The sequence below is a fragment of the Homo sapiens genome, chromosome 7 (genome assembly GCF_000001405.40).
Source record: "Homo sapiens chromosome 7, GRCh38.p14 Primary Assembly".
In the NCBI taxonomy this organism is placed as follows: domain Eukaryota; kingdom Metazoa; phylum Chordata; class Mammalia; order Primates; family Hominidae; genus Homo; species Homo sapiens.
This window is the reverse complement of record NC_000007.14, coordinates 13,304,013-13,331,886: the sequence shown is the minus strand read 5'-3', so window position 1 is coordinate 13,331,886 and position 27,874 is coordinate 13,304,013. Positions and strand designations below refer to the sequence as shown.

At 34.9% G+C, this 27,874-nt stretch overlaps 1 long non-coding RNA gene across 1 annotated transcript in view, besides 2 other annotated features; it reads right to left on the bottom strand.

Annotated features, from left to right (window-relative positions):
* The window catches only part of LOC107986770 (uncharacterized), a 407,223-nt gene that overhangs the window by 370,572 nt on the left and 8,777 nt on the right, over nucleotides 1–27,874 (bottom strand). Inside the window, exon 2 of the long non-coding RNA XR_001745097.2 lies at nucleotides 21,564–21,678. This is a non-coding gene — a long non-coding RNA (uncharacterized LOC107986770). The remainder of the gene's footprint in view (nucleotides 1–21,563; nucleotides 21,679–27,874) is intronic.
* Nucleotides 9,220–9,924: an enhancer, noted in NCBI's record as "OCT4-NANOG hESC enhancer chr7:13361588-13362292 (GRCh37/hg19 assembly coordinates)". NCBI's record gives its function as "activates a minimal SCP1, AML or CMV promoter by ChIP-STARR-seq in primed H9 embryonic stem cells {active_cell/tissue: H9 hESC(primed)}" and the evidence as "EXISTENCE:reporter gene assay evidence [ECO:0000049][PMID:30033119]".
* Nucleotides 24,335–24,850: an enhancer, noted in NCBI's record as "NANOG hESC enhancer chr7:13346662-13347177 (GRCh37/hg19 assembly coordinates)". NCBI's record gives its function as "activates a minimal SCP1, AML or CMV promoter by ChIP-STARR-seq in primed H9 embryonic stem cells {active_cell/tissue: H9 hESC(primed)}" and the evidence as "EXISTENCE:reporter gene assay evidence [ECO:0000049][PMID:30033119]".

Sequence of the window (27,874 nt, the reverse complement as noted above, 5' to 3'; positions counted from 1 at the left end):
AATAGATCAGTGAATGGATGTATAATACAATAAAATAGAAAATCCAAGGAAGGCCACGACAGCTTCCAAGTAATACCTTGACTACATTTAACAGATAGTATTCTTCTTGCAACAATATTATTTTGGTTAAGACTAAACCAAGAGGACTTAATGATCATCTTTTATAATTACTTGCTTATAGTGAAAAGGAATAAAGATTATCATTTGCAAATGGCGCAGGATAGCAGGAAAATAATCACACTTGATCTCAGATAGGGAAAAAGCCTTTCAAATAGCAACCTCTCCTGTAAGCAATGGCAAATGGACACTATCAAACTGTGTCAATAAGTTGACCGAGCCTCACAGAAGTAAAGTAACTTGCTGTGTATCTTGTGGATTATAAGTGACAGACAGTCTATAACAATACAGAGACTCAACCTTAGGGTGAAGCTAATTCTGGGGAGAGACAGAAGAATCAGACAGAAATTAAACGAGCTCTACCTGACTCAAAATTCCATGCTTGTGTTAATATATGATGCACATAAATGTTTTGCTCATTTATCAGTCAGTTCAACAAAATAGGCCTTTTAAATAGTGTGTCTGCAGTTGTATCATCTACAGGTAATCAGCAGCTGCTTAACCTTAACCATAATAACACATTATCACTATTTTCAGTCAGTTAATTTGCAAAAAAAACAGTAGCAACCCTACCCCACACGTAATAATTGATTCCTCGGTTATTGGCACTGAATAAATACAGTGACCCTCACTGGAAATGCCAGGGACTCAGAAAACAATAGCAGTATGCCACAAAAGAAGAAGTCAGGTTGAAGAGTTCATGAGGAAGTCACAACTAAAAGCAGGCATGGTCAACCCTTAAACATAAACTGATGGCAATCAGAGCCAGATTTAGAGTTTGGAATGAAAACCAGTTTTATTTTCTCCAGTGTATTATTCTACTTTACTAAATGTAAGAGGGAATAGGTTATATACTTAGAGCTTTGATCCATGAGCATTGTTGCTAGTAGGTCTCCTGATAGCTACAGGGAAAATGATACTATATAAAAATGTAATAAATATATTGGCTGGGCAAAGTGGCTCACACCTGTAACCCCAGCACATTGGGAGACCAAGGTAGGATGATTGCTTGAGGCCAGGAATTCAAGACAAGCCTGAGGAACATAGCTAGACCCCATCTCTCTCTTATCTTTATCTCTCTCTCGCTCTCTCTCTCTCACTCTCTCTCTCTCTACATATATTTATGTAGAGATATATATATATGTAGATATATATACATATATATGTAGATATATATATATGTAGATATATATACATATATATGTAGATATATATATATGTAGATATATATACATATATATGTAGATATATATATATGTAGATATATATACATATATATGTAGAGAGAGAGAGAGATAAGTATATATGTAAGTGTGTGTGTGTGTGTGTGTGTGTGTGTGTGTGTGTGTGTATGTATATGTATGAGATATAAGTGTGTCCAGGATACAGAGGTTGCAGTGAGCCAAGATCTCACCATGGCATTACGGCACAGGGAACAGAGCAAGACCCTGTTATTTGTTGTTGTTGTTGTTGTTTTGGTTTTCTTTTTGTTTTTTAGAAATATCAAGTCTACAATTATTATTTTATTCTCACAAATAGTTTAAATTTTCTCTCAAGCACAACAAAAGAAGTAAGTTACTTAGGTTTCCAGATCATATCTTTTGTATCTGTTTTCTGTTGGCTTAGGCTAAAAGCAAGGATCTAAAGACATTGGTCTTAAAAAGCAATTATCTGCCTTGTTTTATAACTAATTGAAAGCTGCTGGTCCTTTGCAAGCCTCTCTACAGATCCATGGAACTGGGAAAAATCAAACAAACAAACAAACAAATAAAAAACACCAAAAACAGCAGGATCAGCCTAAGGCTCAACATCTATTTTGCCCTTAGAGCAACACTAAAAGTTAATCATACGGATTTAATTTCCTTCTTACTGATTTTCTCTGATTTACCCAGGAGGTATACACTATTGGAATGCTGACTTTATATCCTCACTTTATTATGGACCAGAGAAAATTTGGAAATTCATTCAAATATATTATTTTTAAAGAGATTAGTTATGCACATCTATTTAGGACAAAGGAGAAAACAGAACACAGAACACAATGTAAGACAGAACTTTTGCTGAACATGAGGCATAGAGATAACAGCTATCAAGTCATCCTGATATATTCTAGAATTTTCTAGAATATTCTAGAGGAGAAGCAGTTACATATTTACCTATAAGTTTTTTACATTGCTGGCAGGCTCTTTTTCTTGCTTACTGTTTTCCAGGCATATGATTTCCTTGCTGTAACTCTTAACATGCCACATGTTCCTTTATTAGGACTTTTGCACTGGTAATTCCCCCTGCCTGGGATGATCTTCCTCAGATATTTACTTCCCAATTCTCTTACATCTTTCAAGTATCTGTTCAAATGTTATCCCAGCACACTGATTACACTTTAATACAGTATCCTGCCCTCTCTTCCTGCCCAATCACCAGGTACACTCAAGTCCTCCTAACCTGTTCTACATTTTCTTTATTCCATAGAACTTATCACCATGTAGCACAGTATAATTTATAGTGTTATTCTGTTTATTGTTTATTGACTGTCTCCTTCTGCTAGAATGTGAGCCCTGTGATGGCAAAATATTCATGTTTTTTCCAGTAAGTATTCAAAGTGCCAAAACAGCCTAGTGCATAGAAGTCGCTCAATAAATATTTGTTAACAGAAGGAAAGAATTCTAGTAAAATGTGATAGATAAGAGCATAAGCTGCCTGGAAGCAAAAGCACTACTTTACTCAGCAGTATGTAGCTAGTGCCTATTGCAGTGCCTCACAAATAGTAGATGCTCCAGCAGTGTGTTGAATTAGCAAATAAAATAATAGGTAAATAAATAAGTTTATTTTATGAGACACAAATGAATTATACATAATAAAAAATAATTGGTATGCAAATTTGAAAAATATTCTATAAAACAGTAAGTATTTTATCTGAGTTTTAAAGTACTGGTACAGAGGAGTTGTTTAGGTTAAAATACTGAGAAAAAGATAATTAGGGGACCCTTTGAGAGTCAAACATATTATTTATAAATCAGGTTTGAATCTAGTGAAGAAATAATTAAAACAAAACATTGAATTTCCTACCAAAAGAAAAAAAAATCCTAAGCATCATATCCCTCCATTTCTATTTAGTTTACAATATTTCTAGAGTTATAAGAAGTATGCAACCTTCCTAAGTTATTATTCAAGAACAAATTATAAATCCCCAGATTCATAGATCTTGAAAATATGTGGAAAAATTAAAATACAATATTGAAGTAAAATAAAAAGCTGAAATACCACATTTAAAAGAAATACTCAAAACTGTAAAATATAGTGGGACTTCTAGAACATAACATTTAGGTAAAATTACAACTGCATTTAAAGAGATGTTTTCCAGAAATACTGAGAAAACTGCATTAAAAAGTCTTTCTTGTACAGTAAAGCAACAGAACTTTACTTTTTTTGGAGGCAATATTTCCAATGATTCATGCTTTTTTCCCATAAAACTTAAGAGAAGCAACCACCAAGGCTTTGAGTTTAGTATTAAATAAAAATGTGAAATTGGATCATTGACTATAAAAATCTTAAGCTAAAACACTCATGTTTGGGGAATGTATTGCTCCTATAAAAAAGTTCGAATCCCTGAAATTTGGTATGTAAATTTCTATTAACACTAAATTTTTTTTTAAAGAGGATGAGATCAATAAGGGTAGAATGTACTTTCTCAGAAACTAAGTCTATAGAGTAATACTTGGTTAGCCCATTCCCAAGACACCTTTATCATAGTATCAGAATCCTTGTTTTCCAGATGAAGTATTTCAGATATACACAAGTCACATCCAAACTATTTATCATTTATTTTTTCTTTTTCCCTACTCTATCTATCACTACCATAGCTACATGCCATTGTTATCTATGCCTGGAGAACTGCCCAGGACACCACATTGTTGGCTTGCAGTAGTGATTCAGTCAATTCATTCTTAACAAGTTGACAGCAGAGATATTTCTAAATACACACTAAATCATCTTAAATTCTAATTACAACCCATCAACAGTCTGCCAACGATCTCAGAATAAAGCCCTTACTAGTCAACATGGCTTTGCAGGTGACTCTACAATTTCTGACATCAGCTTTATAATTCATTCCGTCAACAAAGCATCTTTTATTTAATGTGAGCACATCACTTATGAGGTTATAATTTGCTATTAGCTTATTTGCCTCAGTAAATGTGTACCCTGTTGAAAGGAATGCATGTATCTTATTCTGGAATATGATCAAATACTTTGTACTTAACATCACAGGAAGAGATGAGGGCATTAAATGGGAAGAAAAAAATTGTCATTTAGTTTTCCTCAGCATTCTTATTTCATATAATTCCTGCAGAATGAGAAGACATAAAAAACAAAAGTAGAAGGTAGGAGATAAAAAATCTAACATCCATATAAATCATAGCACAACCTTAAAATCTGTATTAAAGTTGTAATTACTCTTTTAGGTGTCAAAAATGCTATTTGATTTTACATATCAATATCAACAAACAAGTTACAGAAGTCACGATTTCAAAAGTGTGCGTTTGCCATTACTAAAACCTAATCAACACATACAGAAAAAAATATTCAAAATGTTCCTTTGACTTTACCTTTTTTTCTTACATTGTATTTCTGTTCCTTTTTTGGGGGAAGTACATTGAGGTTTAATTTACATACTGGGATTATAAGTGCACAGATTAATGAGTTTTGATAAATGGATTTACCCTTGTTAAGGTATAGAATGTTTCTACCAACCCAAGAAGTTTTCTTGTGCCTCTTTCTCGTGACCCCACTCCTATTTTCAGCTCTAGGTAATCACAGTTCTAGTTTCTAGCATACAGTTTAATTTGTTCTAGAAACTTATCTAAATTAAACCATAGAGTATGTATGTTTTTGTACTATTCTTTGCATATACTCTGTGCATGTACTCTTTCATGTAACATAGTATTTTTAAGATTCATCTATGATGTTCTTCATAAGAGTAGTTTTTCTTTTTATTACTATTTGGCATTCCATTATTTATCCATTCACCCATTGAGAGACATATAGGTTGTTCCCAGTTGGAACTATTACAAATAAAGTTACTGTGAATTTCTGTGTATTTGGTGTGAACATATGTTAACATTTATCTTAAGTAAAAACCAAAGAGTGAAATTTGTGAGTCATATGGTAGGTTTATGTTTCACTATGTAAGAAAATCTCAAACCTTTGTTTCAAAGTGATTGTACTATATTATGTTCCCAGCAGAAACTTATAAGAGTTCCAGTTTCTCTACATCCTCACCAACACTTCATAGTGTCTTTTTTTTTTGGTGTGTTTTAGCTTTTTGAGAAAATAAGCTCAGTGGTTTTTATTTGCATTTTTTGGCATTGTGTTTTAATTTGCATTTCCCTGGTATACTGACTAATATTACTGAGCATTTCTGATATGCTTATTGGTCATTCCTATACCTTTTCTTCAAGTCCTCTGATTATTTTTTATTGAGCTGTTTATTGTTGTTGTCATTGTAGTAGTTCTTTATATATCCTAGTTAAGTCTTGTCAGATATATGTATTACAAATTTTTTTTTCCAGTTGCTGTGTTACTTTTCCATTTTCTTAAACAGGACTATTGAAAAGCAGCTTTCTTTTCTTTCTAATTTTGATAAAGTCTCTGACCCTATTTTAAATGTGGAATTCTCAGACCCTCTCTTAGAAATACTGGCATTAGTCATAAAATATTCTTTTATTTCTGGAACCAAAATTTGATATAGATCCCTAATTTTTCTATGGCATGCATAATTACCATTATACTTTCAAATTTATTCAGACTTATCAGGATTACATATCTGCTTGGATTTTATGAGAAATAATGACACCAAAACTAAAATCAGCTCCAAGAAGTTCATATAGAAGACTTGAAATTTTCAAAGTTAGATTGACTCCTAAAACTCAACAGATATTGTATAAAAATTCTAATATATTTAATTAGTTTACACGATGTATACATTTTCTTAATAAATTATATAATATCCTCAGCCTAGTTTTCCTGGGGTTTTTTTGCTTATAATACTATTAAAAATAATTTTGCATGGAAATTGTAAAATGCCTAAGTATGTTAATATACAAGATAAATGTTGAAATGAGTAGTTTCTGGTAGCCTCAGCATTTATTTAGAGATGGGTAGCTGTAGAAAGAAAACCATTAAACCATGTTTTACTGCCGCCCCCCCATTAACTGGCTATGTGGCCACGGGAGTCCTACAGTCTTTCTTGGCACTTAATGCTCCTAACTATAAAATGAGGGTAGAGAGCCTCCCAGAAAATTGTGCTCGGATAATTTGGTAGTCACATTTTTTAGAAAAATAGCTATTTTGTATTTTGATTATATTTAAATATACTATCAGCTTCTGATACATGATTGCTGTGTTTAGGTAGGTCTTAATATTTAACATCTTTCACAGGGAATTATTAAAAACCCAAATGTCTTTTCTAAATGTACCTAAGTGTATTCTAAAAAAAATGAATGTTTTCACTGTAACGACCCCCTTTAATATGACAAGCTGTAAGGCAAATATGCTTGTGAAATTAAAATACAGTTTTTGCTGACAAATTTTAATATGTACCCAGAAAGTAATGTTGTAGAAAAACAGACATATACAAAACTCAGAGTGGTTATATACACATGCTTTCTCACCACAGACACTGTTTAATATACATTTCATTATACAATATACCCAATATTCATGCAATAATATTATGACTCGAGGAGCGTCTTTATGCCAATCCTTGAGTTTTCAGTTATTTATTAATAATTACAGGAAACATCTTAGAGTTTCCGTATTCTCTTTTTCATACTTAAGTAGATATCCTCTAAGATTACCCTGGAGGACTCTTCTCTTCTTTGAAATTTGTTCACTTAGGCAGCTCAAGAAAAGGAAGAACTCCAAGGTAGAGTGTGCATACTTGAAATCAAAGGTAAGAGGAGTCAGGAGAAATGTCTGTAAGAGGGCTCATTAGGTCAAATATATTTTATTTAACAGGGAAACAAAAATTTCATAATATAGTAAATTATATTATTTCTGCCTGCATATCCCTTATAATTTTTGTGTCCGAGCAAGGCTCTAACGGTAATTAGGTTATTTTTAAATATTACCATTTTCTTCTCTAATAATCAAAGCAAAACATTGTGTATCACTTCTATACAGAACAAGGAAAAATTCGGGGGGGGGGATTTTTCTTTCAGAGTAAAGATGAAAGACATTTTAGTATGAGAAGCTAAGCGTTTCTGAAAATGTGAGCTCTTCATATGAAAATGGCAATTGTATAAGAGATTTTACAAATATTATCTATGGCCAGAGGACACAGACTTTGAAAACGTTTAAATGGACAGACCTTTATATGAGATCTTCAAATATTGTCAATAATATTTTAAGAGCTTATATAATTAATTTTATATAATTAATTTTAAGTAAAATTAATTAACCAATTAATTTTATGGTCATTTATGCAATCCATCTGGAAATTAGTTCATCTTAGCATAGATCCTGAAATATCATATTTAATATTTAATCACTCATGGTTTCAAAGTTGATAAATCCTAAAGATATACAACACATGGTAGTGACTGCAGGCTTTCCATGAGGTAAAGATAGGGGGTGCTTTTTGACATCCATCTCCAGTCTGTCTGGAGTGAATAGTTGCTGGCAACTCTTAAAATCATCTTTCTTTGAATTCTTGGTTTTAACATCCCCTTGGCTTGGTTGCTGGCTTCATGGAGCAGAGTCTTTGTGTACATTTTCAAAGTACAGCACGTGATTCAGGATCTCCCTCAGATTCTCTGCATGGAAGGCTATGCTTTTCTCAAATGACATTCCTCAAAATGCTGGCTCTAAGTCTCCAATTCACCAGTTTTCTTCCCACTCTAAAGCTGACTGCTCTCCATCTGCATTCTCTCTGCCAATATAAGCATGTATTTGGATAGCTACAGTAGAAAAATAGGTAGATGGCATTTGGCCAAATGAGGCCTTTTACCTCTTACTGCTCCTATAGTACTTTAATCATACCGCATGTCACATCACTTAATTTCAAAATATATTATAGTCTATTGCTTATGTAAGCATTTTCTTTGTTCCTCTAGAACCATGAATTCCACAGGACAAGGCCTCTTCCCTGTTGATCTAGTATCTATTGTACTGCTTGGGACTCAGGAACAACAGAATACATATGTTATGTTCTTGTGCTAAAGCAAAACAGAACGAGTACATAGAGTTTCTCAATCTTACTAGCCCATAAAATGAGTGAGCAATTCTCTTGAAGCCATTGGTAATAGCTAAAATAAATCATAGATTAGGCTAGAAAAGTTTATTTCATGCCCCTCAATCTCTTCTATTATATACTTAGACCCTCTGTGAGAAAGCATGATGCCCTCGTAAATTATAATAATTAGGTTTTGAAAACATATAGAGTTTAGATATAAAAAATACTTCTGAGGACAACACAAATACATGGAACCTCCTAGACATTTGTGGCTGAAAGGAGGTGGATGGTTCTCTCATGATAGGGCTCAAAGGAAGAAGAGGCCAGAAAGGAATAAGATTAAGTAGGGCAGGTTTACCACAACTTGGTTATGGAGTAAGCAGTTGTGGTCTGTGCTGGAAAGGGGTGAACACAGATGTCTTCACTCCCCTTACTAACTTGTTTCTTTTTTCCATGTTATAGCTTTGGGGGACTTAGGAAGGGAACGTATTTTTCCAACCTACAAATATGTTCCAATAATGAAGGAAAATCAGGAAGAAAAGGAAAGAAAATGAAATTCTAAATAAAGTAGGTTAAAAGGAAGGCTTCTTTCTTTCTTTCCTTTCCTCTTCTCTCCCTCCCTCCCTCCTTTCTTTCCTTTCTATCGTCTGTCAGTCTGTCCTTCCCTTTGCAGAAATAGTATCCTATATTACCAAATTCAGCATAAATTATTCATCTTGAATAATTATAAAGGAAGGTGAGGTGGAGCAGCAACTGCTAAACCTGTGCATCTAATTTAAACTAAAACTTGTAGACCATCAACACTTAAGATTAGATTAGGTCTTCTTTTATGGGAAAAAAAAAAGGTACTCATCATATTAACTGATTCTTTGAGACATTTCCCTAAATGACAAATGGTGGGAACATGGCATGGAATCAAATTTCTAAGGATAGCTTTTCAGCTAATGATTTGTTTGAAAAACCTAAATTGATGTTCAACTCTGAATAGGAAAATAGACCCAGTTTACACTGCAACTGGCTTGTCTGCCCTCCATCCGTTAAACAATGGGCTAGGTTTGAATAATTGATCTACATTGATTTACAATATAATGGCAACATGCCCCAACATCATAAAAGATTTATGTTTTTATTCAGTGTTTATGTTGATATCTTAAGTAGCAAGCACATCGCACAGCACATCGATATGTAGTGACAAGACCAAATGCTCTTTGGCAGAGCTTCAGTATAAAAATGAGAAGGTGTTGATTTCATTACCACTCTGGCAATACATTTGAAAGAGTGTTAATGACTATTAATGGCCTAGTCCTGAGCCAGAAGAACGCCTGAAGTCAGTGAAAGTGGCGTTTTATCTGCTCTTAAACATTAAAAAGAGAGAGCCTCCTACAGTTGCATTTGTAAGTGCCTTTCCTGCTCTACAAATAATCACATCCCCCACTTAACTGAGCTTTTAAAAATGTTGAAATTCAAGGCAAACCCAATTTCTCCACTCTGGAGGCTTTAGCTCTCTTCCTTTTCTTATAACAACTAACACATTTTGTTCTTGTCAAGAAGTATTTGAAGGTGAATTCGAACGAAATTATTTTAAGAGGACCTTTTGTCTCTTTTAAACTTTGCAATATAGAAACTTCATTGTTTCAGGTTTAACAAGAAGAGCTACTTATTTCCTGTTCCTATTTATTTTTGGAGACACAGATGAGTCCAAACATTCTATGATGGAATGCACTATGAAACCCAAATGTTTTCAGGGTTTGATTTTTTCTTCCCTCAAACAAGTTTCCTTTTTCCTTTTTTTTTTTTTTGATTTGTTTTTTGGTCCCTTGAGGGTCCCAAATCAACAAGTTATTAGATGAGGAATGGAAGCTTCTGTTTCAGAAATCACGACTGCAGCTAGACAACAGAAAACAGATGCCAATTATTTGCCTATGGCTGCTGGAAAACAAAACATTTTATGACATTTACTTTGCCTTAGCAGAACTGCTGCTGATGCCAAAGAAATATAAACTAGTCAAATTATCAGCAGCCGGTTTTGAAATGTGAGGTATTACAATTTGGAATCTTGTTCTACAGTTGGTCATTCTGTGACCTACATATTTCTTTATACACTGATTCATCATGCAATTTGATGTAAAACTCAAGCATTTTAACAGCTTATACAGGGAAAATATGTGTAATAGATATGTATAATGAAATATTTGATATAGTTCAATATCTTATGCATTTTCTTCTAATTCCACTAGTTTTTGATTCAGGGATAAAGATAATGTTTGATGTTTGCTACTCGAAAGTAAGTTTCTTAACACATATTTTTATTTCATGTGGCAAAAGCTTCAAATTAAACATCTTTCTTACACTGAATTCAGCTGAATTATTCATTGTTAATGTGATGTCACAAGCAATGTTTAAGTATTTTTCCCACAGTAGTTGAGAGGCTTAATTTGGTCAGAATCAATATCCACCTAGCCCCATAAGAATATATATTTTATACATATTTTTAGATTAAGTGTCTCACCTTTGAGACACATTTCTGAAGCAATGCATAGGTGGACTTCACTAAAAATAGCAGTTATGACAAATAAATTTCTGCCCGTATAGCCATGATAATGTACTATGTTGAAGATCTGGATTTGCGAGTAAAATCTTTTGAACATCTTATACCATGTGTGCCTAGTTTTCTTTCTTGTCATGGTGATTTGGGTTACCTTTTAAGGGGTGAAGAAAGGCAGCTAATACATTTTACTTGAGAGTATGGATTTACCACAAGCAATGGTGCTATAACATCTGTCATACAAGTGTCTACATTGCCTCAAGAAGTGTCCTGAGTGAGTGAGAAGCAAGCTATATTAGGGATTAGAATTATATCACCCAGAACTGGTTGAATATGTAAGATGAAAAGTGATGATCAAAGTAACTGAAAGAATATTTCTCTGTTTTTAATATGCACATGAATCACCAGAGATCATGTCAAATGTAGATTCTGATGTAGTAGTTCTGGGGTGGGGCCTGAGGCTCTGATTTCCACAAGTTTTGATGTGAGGATGTTAAGCAGCTTGTCCATGGATCACACTTTGAGAGGCAAAAGTGTAGATGACATGGGGTGGAGCCATTCTCCACTGAATAACACCAATTTTCAGAACTAGTTAAATATTTCCAACCTCAACATGCAAGGAGGTTGATTAACTTGCAGTCAGGCCTCAAAGAACCCTAGTCCAGCCCTTATGATGAGTAATGATTGTCATCAGCCACCTGGTTCTAGTATAACTTGTGGAGGCTGCATGATGGGCTACATAAGACCTCCACCATCTCCTTCTTAGATATGATAATGTCTTCCATGGTGTATGTTATTTGTGTGTGTGTGTGTGTGTGTGTGTGTATGCATGGGGAGAAAGAGCAAGAACGTAAAATCAGAGGCAGAAGCACATAAGAACATTATGGCATCATTAGAAAAAAGGGAAAACATAACTGCATCCCTAGGGATGACCCAAACAAGTGGTGCATCAAGTTCCCAGTAGCATATCTTCCTAACTTCAACATCAATCACACCGAATATCTGAATAATCATCATAGCAAAGGAGGGGGAAATTTAATCACATTTGTCTTTGCTCCCATCCTTTCAAGCAATAGAATCTGTATATAGGCATAGATTCTAGACAATATTTTAGCATCCCTGATGGACATTCATTCAGCTAGCATTTAGCTGAAGTTCACCTCTATCTATTATACTCCATTTCCAGTCAAAGGAAGGCTTCCTATCAAATTAAAACCACAAAGATCATTTCTAGGTAACATTTTATGCACTTCTACACCCTCCCCATCATACTCCACCAACACCTGGGACAAATTTATGGATGCTTCTTCAGTAGACAGGAATTTTGGCAGATTTCCTGTCTAGCTAGGGAATACCTGGCAGGATGTCATAGCCGATTAGTGAAAAAAAAAAAGCATTTAATATCCTTTTGGAAGATTTCGGACTGATAACCACATTAGATGAACAGATCTTGAACCATATCATACTCCTCCCACCCAACTCCCAGTCCCAAGTACAATTGATCCTTTCACAGACATTTTTCTCTTTTTAAAATTTTTTTTGTGTGCTCAACCTGCCCTCACAAACCCATGCCTGAAGTATTGCAGTTGTCTTCTAACTGGTCTGCCTGTCTCAGTTTTCATGATTTTAAATAACAGTGTCTCATTAGCTGCCAGCACTCTCTTAGTTGTTTGTTTAACAACCCTTAATCAACTTCCTTTAGCTGTAAGAATAACTCTGAATTCCATGCTCTGTCACTCAAGTTGTCCACGAAATCTATCGACAACATTTTTTGAACTCTCAAAAGTTAGCCTCTTGCAATATCCCAAACAATCCACGCTTATTATCATGCCTGCTTAGACTTTACGGATTTCCAATCCCGATCTGTAATCTAAATACTTCTCCATTAATTTTTCCTTGAAGTCTCTTGACCACACCAATTTTTACTGATTTCTTCCATAGCAGTAATTACTACTCATTTTATTATTTGTTAAAATGCTGCCTCATGTTTTGTTTCTCTTGCTATTATTTGATTTTTAAATATTATGTTTGTTCTATATAGGATTCTTGTGCTTCCATGAGGTTTGGGAAGGTGGATATTGGAGTCAGTCTAGATTTGAGTCTCAATGAGTGAACAGTAATTGTCATCTGTAAATCAGGGATGAAAGCATTCATCTTTCGTGACTATGGTGGGGTTTCAGAGATAATAAGGGTAACATATCTAGAACAGTTCTTGATAATAGTTTTGTTTTCAAATAATGTTAGTTTTTCTTAACTGCTCAACATTAAGGACTTTGCAAGATGTGACATACAGTATATAGAAGAGGGTTCTGTACAAAGGAGAGACATGAGATACAAAAATATTTCTTTATTTAATTAAATTGTGTTGAATTAAATGTTAATCTGTAGCTAAGGACTATTCTATGGAATTATGTGATGGAAACCCTGGCAAATTTATTATGAGTCTGCTGTTATTTTAAAGCACTTCCCCTATGGCTATATGTAGCACATTCGTGGCTTCTATCCCTTTAAGATATTATCATTTATTTGATGTACCTGAACTTTTCATAATCACTCATCATTAGTACACAGAATATAGGATGACTTTAGCAAAATAATTAACTGGAATCAGAAGAAAATCTAAAAATAGATCTCACAAATAATTTTGTCCTCAAGAAATATAAAAATAATCCAGGTTTGACGTAAACTATGAGCCTAAATAGGCTAACCCAAGGCCTTTAAGAGGAAAATATAATTTATTTCCACACAAATTCTGCAAAATTTAGCACATGGTAGATGTTAAATAACTTTTCTCTGAATTAGTGAATAAATGAATGAATATAATTCTATAAAAATTTGTACGAATCTCTAGTAATAACTTTGTCTTATTATTATTGAAGGATTTTTAATCTATGAGTGATAAAAATACTTTAACTTTTTTAGTAAGTAGTTTACTAATTCATCCTATTAATATAAATATTTACTAATCCTACCGTATGTTAGAGTATATAGTAATTTGGAGATATGGAAATTAATATCTGAATGATTGCCATCAAAAATTATTTAGCAGCTGTGACAGTGTGTTCCCATCACTGCACCTAGTATATTTTTAAGAGAAACTTCATATATATTAATATGATTTGGTTTGTAAAAGACTAGATACTATATTTTATGTGTTGCTGATGTAATTAATTTTGTTTCATTGAATTCTTATACATCTTGTCCCCTCCTTATAAAGCCAAATTTTCATGACTGGTCTATCAATTTAATTAAAGATATGATTTCTCCTCCGTGTAGTTTGCAATACCATTGAATGTAGAACATTTCCAAAGTACTAGAATTTTAAAAGCAGTTTTCTGGAGCCTCTTTTGGAGGACATTATTAGAATTAGATGTTTATGTAAAATTGGTTTTCTGTATCTGACAATATCTTCTAAATGCCTTTTATGACCTTCTCTTGAAGATTTATTATGAAAGACCTGGTATTACAAACATACTTTTGACATCTATAGACATCTTAACAAATTAACCTGCCTAGGGGAGCTTATGTGTATTAGTGTTCAAAGCATCCACTTGCCTCAGAACCAAATATTGTTGTGTAGAGTTTGAATCTTTATGTAAGCAATCTTTCTCTGGAAGATTTGAAGTCATCCTTCATTTCTGTTTAGTAAACTAGAATGCCATTTTGCTCAAATCAAACACCTGAATCTAACTGCCTCCCTTCCTCTGTTTACTTCATTAAGATGTAACTTGATTTATGATCAGCACTCTATTTTCTTGAGACAGAAATTAATCACAATAAGTTTGGTGGATTCATTCCATCAAGGGTGAATCCAGTTTCATTATTCTGAAAATCTACAGTGGACTACATAATAAACATCAAAGCGTCAATAAGAATTTTCATTTAATTTTTGAAATCAACATGTGTTCATCTTAAAGGAAAATGTTAAGAGGAATAATATATTGAAAGCTGAAACAGGTAGTGCTAATGTTACACCTATACTATGTCATTCTACTTTTGAGTCCTCAGTACTTTATGACATCATGTTGATTCATGTTCATAAGTCAGATTTGGTGTAATCATGGTCAAGGAATTATTTCATTTTTTAAAAGCATAAGAAAATGTTAAATGGGGTATAATAATTTCATAAAACTTGACAAAGTTGGAAACTATATTTGGCATTTGCTACATTTAAAAACTGAATCTGTGATTTTTGGCAAATATATTCCTTTTGACAGCTTGTCTGTTACCTGAAATTACATAGGTCAGTGTGGCATTAAGACTGGGAGAGAATGGGAAGGCTTATTATATGGTTTCCTTAAGATGAGAAACATTAACTTCTCAAATAACCAAGAGTGAAATTACATTTCAGACTAAATAAAAATCAAGAAGGATGTTCTGATATATTGAATTGAAATTAAGAATCTGGTTATCTTACTGATTCATTATCTCTAAGGTGTGCAAAAATTATTTCTTCCTCATTTTTAGTAGATCCTGGGAACATTTTAATTCTACTCATAGTCAGGAACCAAGGTGACAGTACGTTGTGAAACTTAGAAGCTCTTTTAAGAAAAAAAATAATGTACAAACACATAAATGGATACTTTTATTTAGAGCAGGGGTCCCTAACCCCCCAGCCATACACTGGTATCAGTCCATGGCCTCTTAGGAACCAGGCCGCACAGCAGGAACTAAGCAGAGGGCAAGCAAGCAAAGCTTCATCTGTATTTACAGCAGCTCCCCATTGTTCACATTACCACCTGAGTTCTGCCTCCTGTCAGATCAGTGATGGCATTAGATTTTCACAGAAGCATGAATCTTATTGTGAACTGCACATGTGAGGAATCGAGGTTGCATGCTACTTATGAGCATCTAATGCCGGATGATGTGTCATTGTCTCCCATCACCCCCACATGGGACCATCTAGTTGCAGGAAAACAAGCTCACGGCTCCCACTGATTCTACATTACAGTGAGTTGTATAATTATTTTATTATATATTCTAATGTAATGATAATAAAAATAATGTGCACAGTAAATGTAATATGCTTGAATCATCCTGAAAGCACCCCCCCAAACCCAGCCGATGGAAAACTTGTCTTCCATAAAACCGGTCCCTGGTGCCAAAAAGGTTGGGGACTGCTGATTTAGAGTATATCTGCTTATTTATATATATGAGGCAATGTTCAGATTATGATACATTCTAATCTACAACAGGAAAGGGTAATTTGGAAACTCTTCAACTAGTGTTTGGAGTAAACATCTATCGTCAGAATTAACGTTTTTAATAAAATACTGTGTATCAGAGAAGCTCATTATGAACCTAAGCAAATATACGTTTATGTGTACTTAATAAGTCTGAATTTCACAAAATGTCATAGATATAGTGTATCTTTTTAATGTAAATATTTCATTGGTTTTCCTATTGAAATTCTGCCTCACTGAAGATTTCTTCTATTTCTCTCATTCACTCTTAGTCAATGTGTTACGTCCCTTGGATTTTCTTTGCAATTTCTGTAGTTTTCACTTGTTTTTCTGAGTAAATTATTAGTTTTCTAACAGTAGGTTTCAGCACTCTTCTTTAATAAGTATCAACGAGCACCAAGCATATTAAAGTTTGGCTTAATCCACATGACAGTAAGTATGTAAGTTCATTCTTGATTGTCTCTGGCAGAGTAGTTGCTTAGTTCAACTATGTGCTATCATAGAATAGAGGAGACAGAATAAAAGGAGTGAAAACATTTGTTAGTAAGGAATGACTAAACACATGTCAAATTTGATGAAAAACATTTATGTATATATCCATTAAGCTCATTAAATTCCACATTGGATAAATACAAAAAGATTTGCATGTAGATGTATCATAGTCAAACTTTGACAGCCAAAACTAAGCAGAGGCCAGGCACAGTGGCTCACACCTCTAATCCCAGCACTTTGGGAGGCCAAGGAGGTCAGATCACTAGAGGCCAGGAGTGGGAGACCAGCCTGGCCAACATGCTGAAACCCTGTCCTACTAAAAATGCCAAAAATTAGCCAGGCGTGGTGTCGCGCACCTGTAATCCCAGCTACTTGGGAAGCTGAGCCATGAGAATCACCTGAACCCAGCAGGGTTGCAGTGCGCCAAAGAGGTTTGCAGTGAGCCAAGATTGTGTCACTGCACTCTAGCCTGGGTGACAGAGCAAGATGCTGTCTCAAGAACAAAAACACAACAAACAAACAAACAAGAAAAAACAAGCCAGGCCCAGTGGCTCATACCTGTAATCCCAGAACTTTGGGAGGTCGAGGTGGGCAGATTACTTGAGGCCAGGCGTTTGCGGCCAGCCTGGCCAACATTGCCAAACCTTGCCTCTACTAAAAACACAAAAATTGGTTGGGCATGGTGGCTTGCACCTATAGTCCCAGCTACTCAGGAGGTTGAGGCAGGAGAATCGCCTGAGCCTGGGAGTCGGAGGTTGCAGTAAGCAGAGATCTTGCTACTGCACTCCAGCCTGGGCAACAGAGGGAGACTCTGTCTCAAAACCAACAAACAAACAAATAAACAACATCAAAAAATAAAAAATAAAGCCACCAATGAGATTAAAAGCTATTTAGCACATAAAAGGGAATTATAATAAAATTAACATCTCAGAATTAATGGAGGCTAGAATGCAGTGAAGTGACATACTTATATATCTAAATAAATGAAGATTAATTCAATGACCAATAAAACTACCCTTCAAAATGAGAATAAAAATACAGACAATCCTTGCCTGTTCCCCAAAGACCTGTACCTAACTGAAATCTATGGAACAGTCCATCTAACAGCAACAGAATACACATTCTTTCCAAGGGCATATGGAAAATATACTATGATAAACCGTATGCTAGGCCATAACATACTAATCAATAATCAGCTTTAAAAAGAATAAAATAAAGTATATTATCAAAACAAAGATAATAAATTAGAAATCAACAAAACTATGGAAATTTTAGTCTTCAGAAAATAAACCACACACTACTAAATAACCCATGGACCAAAAGATAACTTACAGAGGAAATTAGAGAATACTTTAAAATGACTGAAAATTGAATCACACCATTAAAAAAAATTAAGCAACGTAGGCAAAGCTGTATTTAGAAAAAAAAAAATTAGCTTTAAATGCCAATGTTAAATAAAATCTCAAATAAATATATTTCTACCTTAAGACTTAACTAGTAAAATGAGAAAAAAATCAACTCAAAGCAGAGAAAAAAATAAAGATTAGAACAGAATTAGTAAAACTGAGAAAAGAGGAAATCAATGAAACCACAATCAGTTTCACTGGAAAAATTAGCAAAATTGACAAAAACTTATATATATTGAACAAGAAAAAAGAGACACAAATTTTTGAAATCCAAAATGAAAAGTAGTGTATTATTATAGATTTTACAGAAATTAAAATGTACATAAGGGAATAAAAGCAAGTTTATGCTGAAAAATTAGACAACTTAAATAAATGGACAAAGATTAAAATAAAAAAACAAATTATATATACTGAGAAGAAAAGAAATAGAAAAGGTGAATACATGTATACCAAGTAAAGGAGTTAAACTGGTAATTAAAATGATTCCAAGAAAGAAAAATTCAGATTCAGGTGATTTTACAGGTAAATTCTATCAAGTACTTTAAAAAGAGGTGACATAAAACATTCATAAAGTGTTACAGATTTCAGAAGCTGCAACAATTTTCAATTCATTGTGAGTTGCCCCAATGCTAACTCCAGACAAAAATATCACAAAAAAGAAAACCACGTATCAATATTTCTCTGAGTATAGACAAAAAGTCAACAAAATATTTGCAGCCCAAACTCAGCAACATATTAAAAATATTACACATCATGACCACGTGAAACTTATCCCAGACAGAATTACCACACAGAGAATTTCTTTTACAAGGTTAATTTTTACAACTCTTCCACAACTTGTTCAAATTTTTAGATTTATCTAAGTTAAAACAATCTTCTAACCCTCTGGCAAAGATTTACTTCCCCATGACTTCCTATAATCTTTTTTTTTTTTTTTTTTAAGACAGAGTCTCACTATGTCACTGGTGCAATCTTGGAGTTCAGTGGTGCAATCTTGGCTCACTGCAACCTCCACCTCCGGAGTTCAAGAGATTCTCCTGCCTCAGCCTCCCAAGTATCTGGAATTACAGGTGTGTGCCATCACACTGGGCTAATTTTTGTACTTCTTGTAGAGATGGGGTTTCACCTTGTTGACCAGGCTAGTCTTGAACTCCTGACCTCAAGTGATCCTCCCACCTCAGCTTCCCAAAGTGCTGGGATTAAGGTTTGAGACATAGTGCCTGGCTGCCTTCTTATAATCTTTAACCAAAAACACATTTCACGCTCCTCATACACCTTGCATGTATTAATAAAACTATTTTTTTAGTAGTCTTAATTTCATGTTATAATGGTAACTCTTAGGAACTTTTACTTTTGGTGCATAAATTTCCTTTCATCAATCATTTCACGACTTACACAGACCGTCTACGACATGCTTGGATTTTCTGGCTTGTCCTAAACATTCCTCTTTTTAAACAACCAGTTATTTTAATTTAGGACATGAATTTACCATATGGGATCCTCTCTTATATAAACTCTTTTCTTTATAACCTTCTTGGCATAGCTAGGGGGCATGGCTAATTCAACACGTCCCAAGGCCTTATCTAGAATCTAATGTGTTCATGGTAGGTAAACTGAACAATTTTCAAAAGTCACAGCAGTTTATGACCTTAAAGTCTTTGGAATACCTAATATCTGACCTGCCTAATTTAGACTAAATGTCCTTATTTTACCAATAATCTTTAAAACTTTTTATTTCCCAAAGATTACTAAAGTTATGTGAACTAAAAAGAATTAGTTTTTATTTTTCTTTCAAAATATCTCATTTAAGCACTTATTTTTCTTTAAGCCAGTTAATTAGAGTTCTTTTGTATAAACATCACACACACAACACATACATAACTACACAGGCAGACAGAAGAAGATCCGGTAGTTGTAAGATTTTTCACTTGCCAGTTTTGAAGTTTCTTAATTGGATTACTTGCTTTAGGGTGCCTCCTTCAAGAAATAGGGCTGAGAACACAGGTAGTTTTTACAATATATAGAATCTTTGAAGGTAGCTTGAAGACAGAAAAATTCAAGAAGGGAAGACAGAAGTTGTTCATGGAGGGGAAGAGAACTATCAAATGGTAAATGTCACACAGATACCAACCAGAAAGTACTCATTTCCTAAGCCAGGATTGAACCTGGGCCACCACTGTAAAATGGCAGAAACCAAAAGAAAGTACTGACATATGGTTACAAGGTTAAGCTCCCAAGGACATAAAACAAGATGCAGACCTCATCCAGTTTTTCTTTTGCTTTTTTCAGAGACCTGCAGCAAAGTTTGTAACTGACCAGCTTGCTGGGCCACCTTGAATAGTGAGCTTATGGGATCCTAAGCCCATGTATCCTAAGGTATCCTAAGGTACCCCTATTCATGACAGAATGACACAGAAAGACAAATTCATAGCAAAAATACACCAGATTCACCACAGTTTAAGACTAGCCTCAGAATCCTTTTTCACATTAATCAGAACTTTACAGAGGAGATAAACAGTGATTTTTGTCATTCATTCAACTGGTTTGCACAGAGAAAGAGAGACCAGAAGCCTGACTGGTAGGAAATTCTTACCCTTTTGCCAGCATGTCAGGTTTCTGGGTTCCTCTTCCATGAGCAGCCCTAGCAATCCTGTTTGCCATACCATACCTCTGGGGACCAAGCTGCATCACAATGGAAAATCATGGAACCACAGGCAAAATCCTCCTCATTTTGCAAGATGCTGCCCAAGGAGCTTTATGTAGTAACCAAATTAACATTTTCCATTCTGGCCAGAGCAAAATATGTGTGACAAAACATAGACATTAGCCACTCTGGTTAGCACCCAATATTGAACTGGAAAAGGTCAAATTTGCCCCTGGTTGGGCCCTGTCACCTTTAATCCATTTTAACCAAGAGGGACTTTACTGAGGAGAGGGCCTCTAACCCAATCCCATCCTTTACTCAGGTGAAATGTACGGCAATACTTATCCAAAGTCAGCCAATTGGTGTTGCAGTCTATTTCCTTTGGATCGGAATAGTAACTAAGCTAAAAAGTCAGTAGATGTAATTTTGGGGAGCCCTCGTTTTTAAATTCACTTCAATACATCGTTGTTCATTCAGAGTGTTCCACTGTAAGTTATCTTTGGTAAGACTTCACCATTTCCGTAAGACTTTGTTGCTTCCTGAGCCTAATGTTTAAGTTGAAAGGAAATCAGTCTTTTAGAAATTAAGGATCCCATTTTTACCTAAAATATTGGCTTTACTCTCAGGTTCCCTTGATTGCCTTAGCCAGTGATTTTTCTATGAAACAAAGGGGTAGAACACAAAAATCCCTGCAAATTTTCGAAAGCCAAACTTTACAACCCCAACAACATTACCATTTACTACCAGTTTCTTTCTGACCCAGTCAGATGTAAGAGGCCTCTAACTAGATCCAAGCCAGTTAATTACTAGATCAAATCTGACCCTGGACTCAGTCCAGTTTCTGTTGTTACTTCCAAACCCAGTTTAGAACAGAAATTTGCTCAAAGAAAATCAGAAAGCTCAAAACACAAATCTGTGGCACTCCAAAATCTGAGAGAGAACTTACCCACTGCTCTGAGAGATCAAAGGACACAAGTGGGTCCTTGCAGGTACCTTGCTTGTTCACTCAGCACTTCTGGGGGTCATTAAAGCTCTACTTTGAACCCCGCTTCTGACACCATCTGTTAAAAGAGAAACTTCAATCAAATTACATTTAAAGGAGTTTAACTGAGCAATGAATGATTCACGAATTGGGCAGCCCCCAGAATCACAGCAGATCCAGACAGACTCCCTGCCCTGCATTTTTTGATATCCTACCTTTAGATCTAGTTTATACTAAATTGGTTATAAAGCAGTTTAATTGTGTAAACATACAAAAAATTTACAAGGATCTTTGATGTTAAAAAAATCACATGTAGAATTTTATTTTAGTTACTTCAAACCACTCAGTAATCTAATTAGCTGGAAGCATACAATAAAATTTACTCTGTACTTTTTGCTTCTAAGTTATTATATAACCATAATGGCATTCAATTTATCTCAGCTTAATGTTACTTTTATCAGTATTAACCTCAACATACTGATAATATTTTACTAAATGTTTTTAGACATAAATTTCACATATACTTGATAAAGCACTCAGCTCCTCCTAGTGGATAAGCTTTAGCTAATGGTGTCAATATTTTCATATTTTAATAATGTTATTGTTAGTTTTAAGTATGTCCTCAAAATTCATAAAACATAAAGCAAATGGTGTCTACAAAGTTAAAACCAAATTATGAAAAATATAAACAATTTCTTCTTAAATAAAATCAGTTGACATTAAGTGGCACTTAATTATCCCCATGTTATTAAATATATTAAAAAGCCATAACAGAGATTTTAACCAACGGGGTATTCATTGATTTTCCACTCATTCTGTTACACTTTACAATTTCTTACCAATGAAAATAAAAAGAAGTAACTGAGAGAAAAAAAAGGAAGTAAATAATATTGAAACCTAGATTTTTAAAAGGTAGGGTACAGAAGATAAGATTTTTAACTATCATACTAATGAGCAGAAATAAAATACAAAGTATCATTTGAAAGAAATATACAGAATCAATGGAGGTATTCAGCTCTTTCCGGTGGGTGGGCGACATGCTTGTGAAGGAAAAATGCATTGCCTAAAAACCATACCCACGTGTGATGGAGTGTGCATCTGTTCAATACAGGCCAAGCCAAAATCTGCAGGTGTCAAAATGCCAGTAGTACACACAAAATGATGGAAATGAAGACAAATTATCTTTTGAAAAGTACCAATGTTCATAAATTTTTCTTATTTCTGCATGCGCGAAGATATCATTGGCTTTCTTCCCCTTTATCATGTTGTCTGTGTTAACTGATAAAAGTCAAAAACTGAACAAGAAAAAATGTCCTCTCTGCAATCAACAAAGCAAGCAAATGACTAGCCTGACATTTCATCAGTTCTTCTAGGAAATCCCTGGATAACAGCACCACTGTTTTCATTTTTGCTAAAAAGCTGATTAGAAAGATGAGGTCCAATTGTTGGCATAAAACTTTTCAGAAATATTTCTGTGAAGTGTGAAAAAAAGACTTGTAGATTTTGTAAATTATTGGTCCTGTGTTTGTGCACTAAAAAGCCAAAGTTACAAATTGCAGATGCCACTCATCCACTTGTTCTCAGGTTTGCAAAATGGCTCTAGATAACCTTCCAAAAATGACAACCTGAATTATGAAAATAATTTTGACTCTGATAAGCTTCTCTCTAAGCCATTAAGATAAGCACATTGAATGAACAGTGATTTTCCATTATACCAGAACATATGGCTTGCAAATGTGAGTTATATACATTTCATTCAAGTACCTTCTTAATTAACAAATATAATAAACTTCATATTACTATACACTTTAATAAAGTAGTATAAGTATGTTCATTTCTCAAACAATCCTGTGAAATGGGAAGTCTGACATTTTTATTTTCTGACTACAGATGTAGAAAAATGTAATGGCTTGCATAAAGTCATGCACATTTAAATTGTAGCAGCAACACTGGAACTCAAGTGTTTTGATTTTTATCCTTACACCTCTTCTGCTATGCCATCCTGCTTTTATTTTTAAGAATTTAAATCTTAATTTTTGTAATCTTCATTTGTACCATTCGTGGATTGTTTCCTAGTAATACATAAAGCCACTTATTAGATGTACTATGCAAATTCATACCTTGCTTTTCACACATGCACAGGCAATACAAACATACAGTAGTAGTTCATTTACTATATCAATAAGTCAATAAGTGGATCTAATTAGCATTAGAACTTAAAAGTTAACATAATCAAAGGGATTATTATAAAATAGAATTTGCCATGGATTTGCACACACCATATAACCAGAAAATACTTATTTGTATTAAGTTTCCTAGGACTGCTATAACAAGGTACCATTAAACCAGGTAATCTAAAACGTAGGAATTTAATTTCGCACAGTGGTAGAGGCCAGAAGTCCAAAATCAAGGTGTTAGCAGAGCCATGCTCCATCTGAATGGTCTAGAAAAAAATCCTCCCCTGCCTCTTCCTAGCTTCAGGTGATTTCAGGCTTGTGGCAATATAACTCCAATCCTTGCCTCTCTTGTCATGTAAGATTCTTCCCTGTGTGTCTCTACATATTTGGAGCTTCTCTTAGTATAAAAACAACAATCATACTGGATTTAAGGCACATTCTAATCTCTTATGACTTAATTCTAACTAATTACATCTGCAAATACTTTATTTCCAAATAAGATCACATTCTGAAGTTCCAGGTGGACCTGAAATTTGAGAGGATACCCTCACCAGCTACCTATAGAAATCTCCTCTTCCTTCCACAATACTACACAGGAAGACTTCCTTTTTTCCTTTATTTCAGAAGCCATTGGAACTCTCATACATTATAGAGTTCTTTTTAATCTTACTTGATCTAGGGTGTTATGTAGATGTACTAAGCATCATAGGTAAAGGACAACAGAGAAGGAAGAGGAACAACTGGTTTTGGTAGCACAACTTAATTGTTGGCTCATCACAGTCCATTTTAAATCTTTACTGTAATAGTTTGTTTTCTGGCTGCTGATAAAGACATACCCCAGACTTGGCAATTTACAAAAGAAAGAGGTTTAATGGACTTGCAAATCCACACAGCTGGGGAGCCCTCATAATTATCATGGCAGAAGGGAAGGAGGAGCAAGTCATATCTTACATGAATGGTGACAGGCAAACAGAGAGCTGGTACAGAAAAAGCTTCCTTTTTTTTACTTTTTTTTTTTTAATTTTACTTCAAGTGCTGGAATACATGTCTGAACATGCAGGTTTGTTACATAGGTATACATGTGTCATGGTGGTTAGCTGCACCCATCAGCCCGTCATCTAGGTTTTAAGACCCACGTGCATTACGTATTTGCTCTAATGCGCTCCCTCCCCCTTCTCCCCATCCCCCAACTGGCCCCACTGTGTGATGTTCCCCTCCCTATGTCCATGTGTTCCCCCTGTTCTCACTCATAAGTTCCCACCTAAGAGTGAGAACATGCGGTGTCTCATTTTCTGTTCCTGTGTTAGTTTGCTGAGGATGATGGTTTCCAGCTTCATCCATGTCCCTGCAAAGGACATGAACTCATTCTTTTTTATGGCTGTATATTATTCCATGGTGTATATATGCCACATTTTCTTTATCCAGTCTATCATTGGTGGGCATTTGGGTTGGTTCCAAGTCTTTGCTATTGTAAATAGTGCTGCAGTAAACATACAGGTGCATGTGTCTTTTTTTTTTTTTTCCTGAGATGGAGTCTCGCTCTGTCGCCCAGGCTGGAGTGCAGTGGCGCGATCTTGGCTCACTGAAAGCTCCGCCTCCTGGGTTCAAGCCATTCTCCTGCCTCAGCCTCCCAAGTAGCTGCGACTATAGGCGCCCGCCACCACACCCAGCTATATTTTTGTATTTTCAGTAGAGACGGGGTTTCACCATATTAGCCAGGATGGTCTCGATCTCCTGACCTCGTGATCCGCCCACCTCAGCCTCCCAAAATGCTGGGATTACAGGTGTGAGCCGCTGCATCTGGCCCATGTGTCTTTACGGTAGAATGATTTGTAATCCTTTGGGTATATACCCAGTAATGGGATTGCTGAGTCAAATGGTATTTCTGGTTCTAGATCCTTGAGGAGTCACCACACTATCTTCCATAATGGTTGAACTAATTTACACTCCCAATAACAATGTAAAAGCATTCCTTTTTTTCTCCGCATCCTCACCAGCATCTATTATTTCCAGACTTTTTAATGATTGCCATTCTAACTGGTGTGAGATGATATCTCATTGTGGTTTTGATTTGCATTTCTCTAATGACCAGTGATAATAAGCTTTTTTTCATATGTTTGTTGGCACATAAGTGTCTTCTTTTGAGAACTGTCTGCTCATATCCTTTGCCCACTTTCTGAACTAGAAAAAAGTACTTTAAATTTCATGAAACCCAAAAAGAGCCCATATAGCCAAGACAATCCTAAGCAAAAAGGACAAAGCTGGAGGCATCACGCTACCTGACTTCAATCTATACTACAATGCTACAGTAACCAAAACAGCATGGTACTGGTACCAAAACAGAAATATAGACCAATGGAACAGAACAGAGGCCTCAGAAATAATGCCACACATCTACAACCATCTGATCTTCAACAATCCTGACAAAAATAAGCATGGGGAAAGGATTCTCTGTTTAATAAATGGCTAGCCATATGCAGAAAACTCAAACTGGACCCCTTCTTTACACCTTATACAAAAATTAACTCAAGATGGATTAAAGATTTAAACAGAAAACATAAAACTCTAAAAAGCCTAGAAGAAAACCTAGCCAGTACCATTCAGGACATAGGCATGGGCAAAGACTTCATGACTAAAACACCAAAAGCAATTACAACAAAAGACAAAATTGACAAATGGGATCTAATTAAACTAAAGAGCTTCAGCTCATCCAATGAAACTATCATCAGAGTGAATAGGCAACTTATAGAATGGGAGAAAATTTTTGCAATCTATCCATCTGACAAAGGTCTAATATCCAGAATCTACAAGGAACTTAAACAAATTTACAAGAAAAAAAAAACATCAAAACTTCTGTTTTTAAAACCATCAGATCTCATGAGACTCACTCACTATTACTAGAACAGCTCAGGAAAGACCTGCCCCCATAATTCAGTCACCTCTCACCGGGTTCCTCCCATGACATGTGGGAATTGTGGGAGTTACAATTCAAGATGAGCTTTGGGTGGGGACACAGCCAAACCATATCATTTACTTCTTTACTTTCCACAAATTCATCTTTTTTCATGTCTCAACAACTCTGGAGACCTTATCCTACTCTTCAACATGAGCTAATTTGAAAAACTGCTCAAAGATCCATAAATCTTCTGTACTGATCACAGAGAGAGAGGAACACTGATTGCAATACCAGATAGTGGCAGTTGAAAGGAATTGTGCCCGAGGATGAAAATAGCATTTATTTATTTAAAAGCAATCAAATACACAAACATATACACCAATACATCTAAGTGACTACATGTCAAGCAACTGTAATAGTGTGTAATGTATTCTCAAGCTGATCTCTAAAAAACACCAATTGAGTTTTCACCAGTTAGAATTCTATGACAGATGTTACTTTTCAATGTAATGCTAGAAAAAGATTTTAAAAATTAACTCTTCTCTGGAAACTTCATTTTTAAATTTTTATCCCTCTCATATTCATCACATCCATGATAGAAGCCTCTTATGATAGACATCAAACTATGCAAAACTCTTTGTGTGCTTCTTCCCAAATCTAGTGCATGGGGAGATATGTTATTGGCAGCACAGACTAGAATAGTGAATGGCATTGCCCATGAAAGCATCACTATGGTTTTATAATTCAAGATCATTTTACTTTCAACAATACTTCTGAGCTAGTCTAGGCACGAATAGCACAATATACTGTGGTGTTTTAGTTTCCATAATATAAGTGACACATTGTATTGCAATTGCATAGATAGACAGATAGATAGATAGATGTCTATTTTTATCTTCTTCCTAGTCATTTAAGGTATTTGAAGGCAGTATCTGGGACAACTTAGATGCAGATCAGTTTGTTTGCTGAAAAGTGACTAGAGATTTTAATGTTTCTATTATGTCTTTTCCCAAATAGCGGTTATGTGCTCCACTCAATTTAATTCTTGGGTACTGTGGTGATCATTAGGGTTCTTTGATAACTATTAATTGTTCTCCCAACTTCTGGCACATAGAAAGATTGAAATTACTGGCCCTTTACGGGTATGGCCATTTCAATGAGTTGTGAGCAGAAGAGACGTGCGTCACTTGTAGACTGGAATA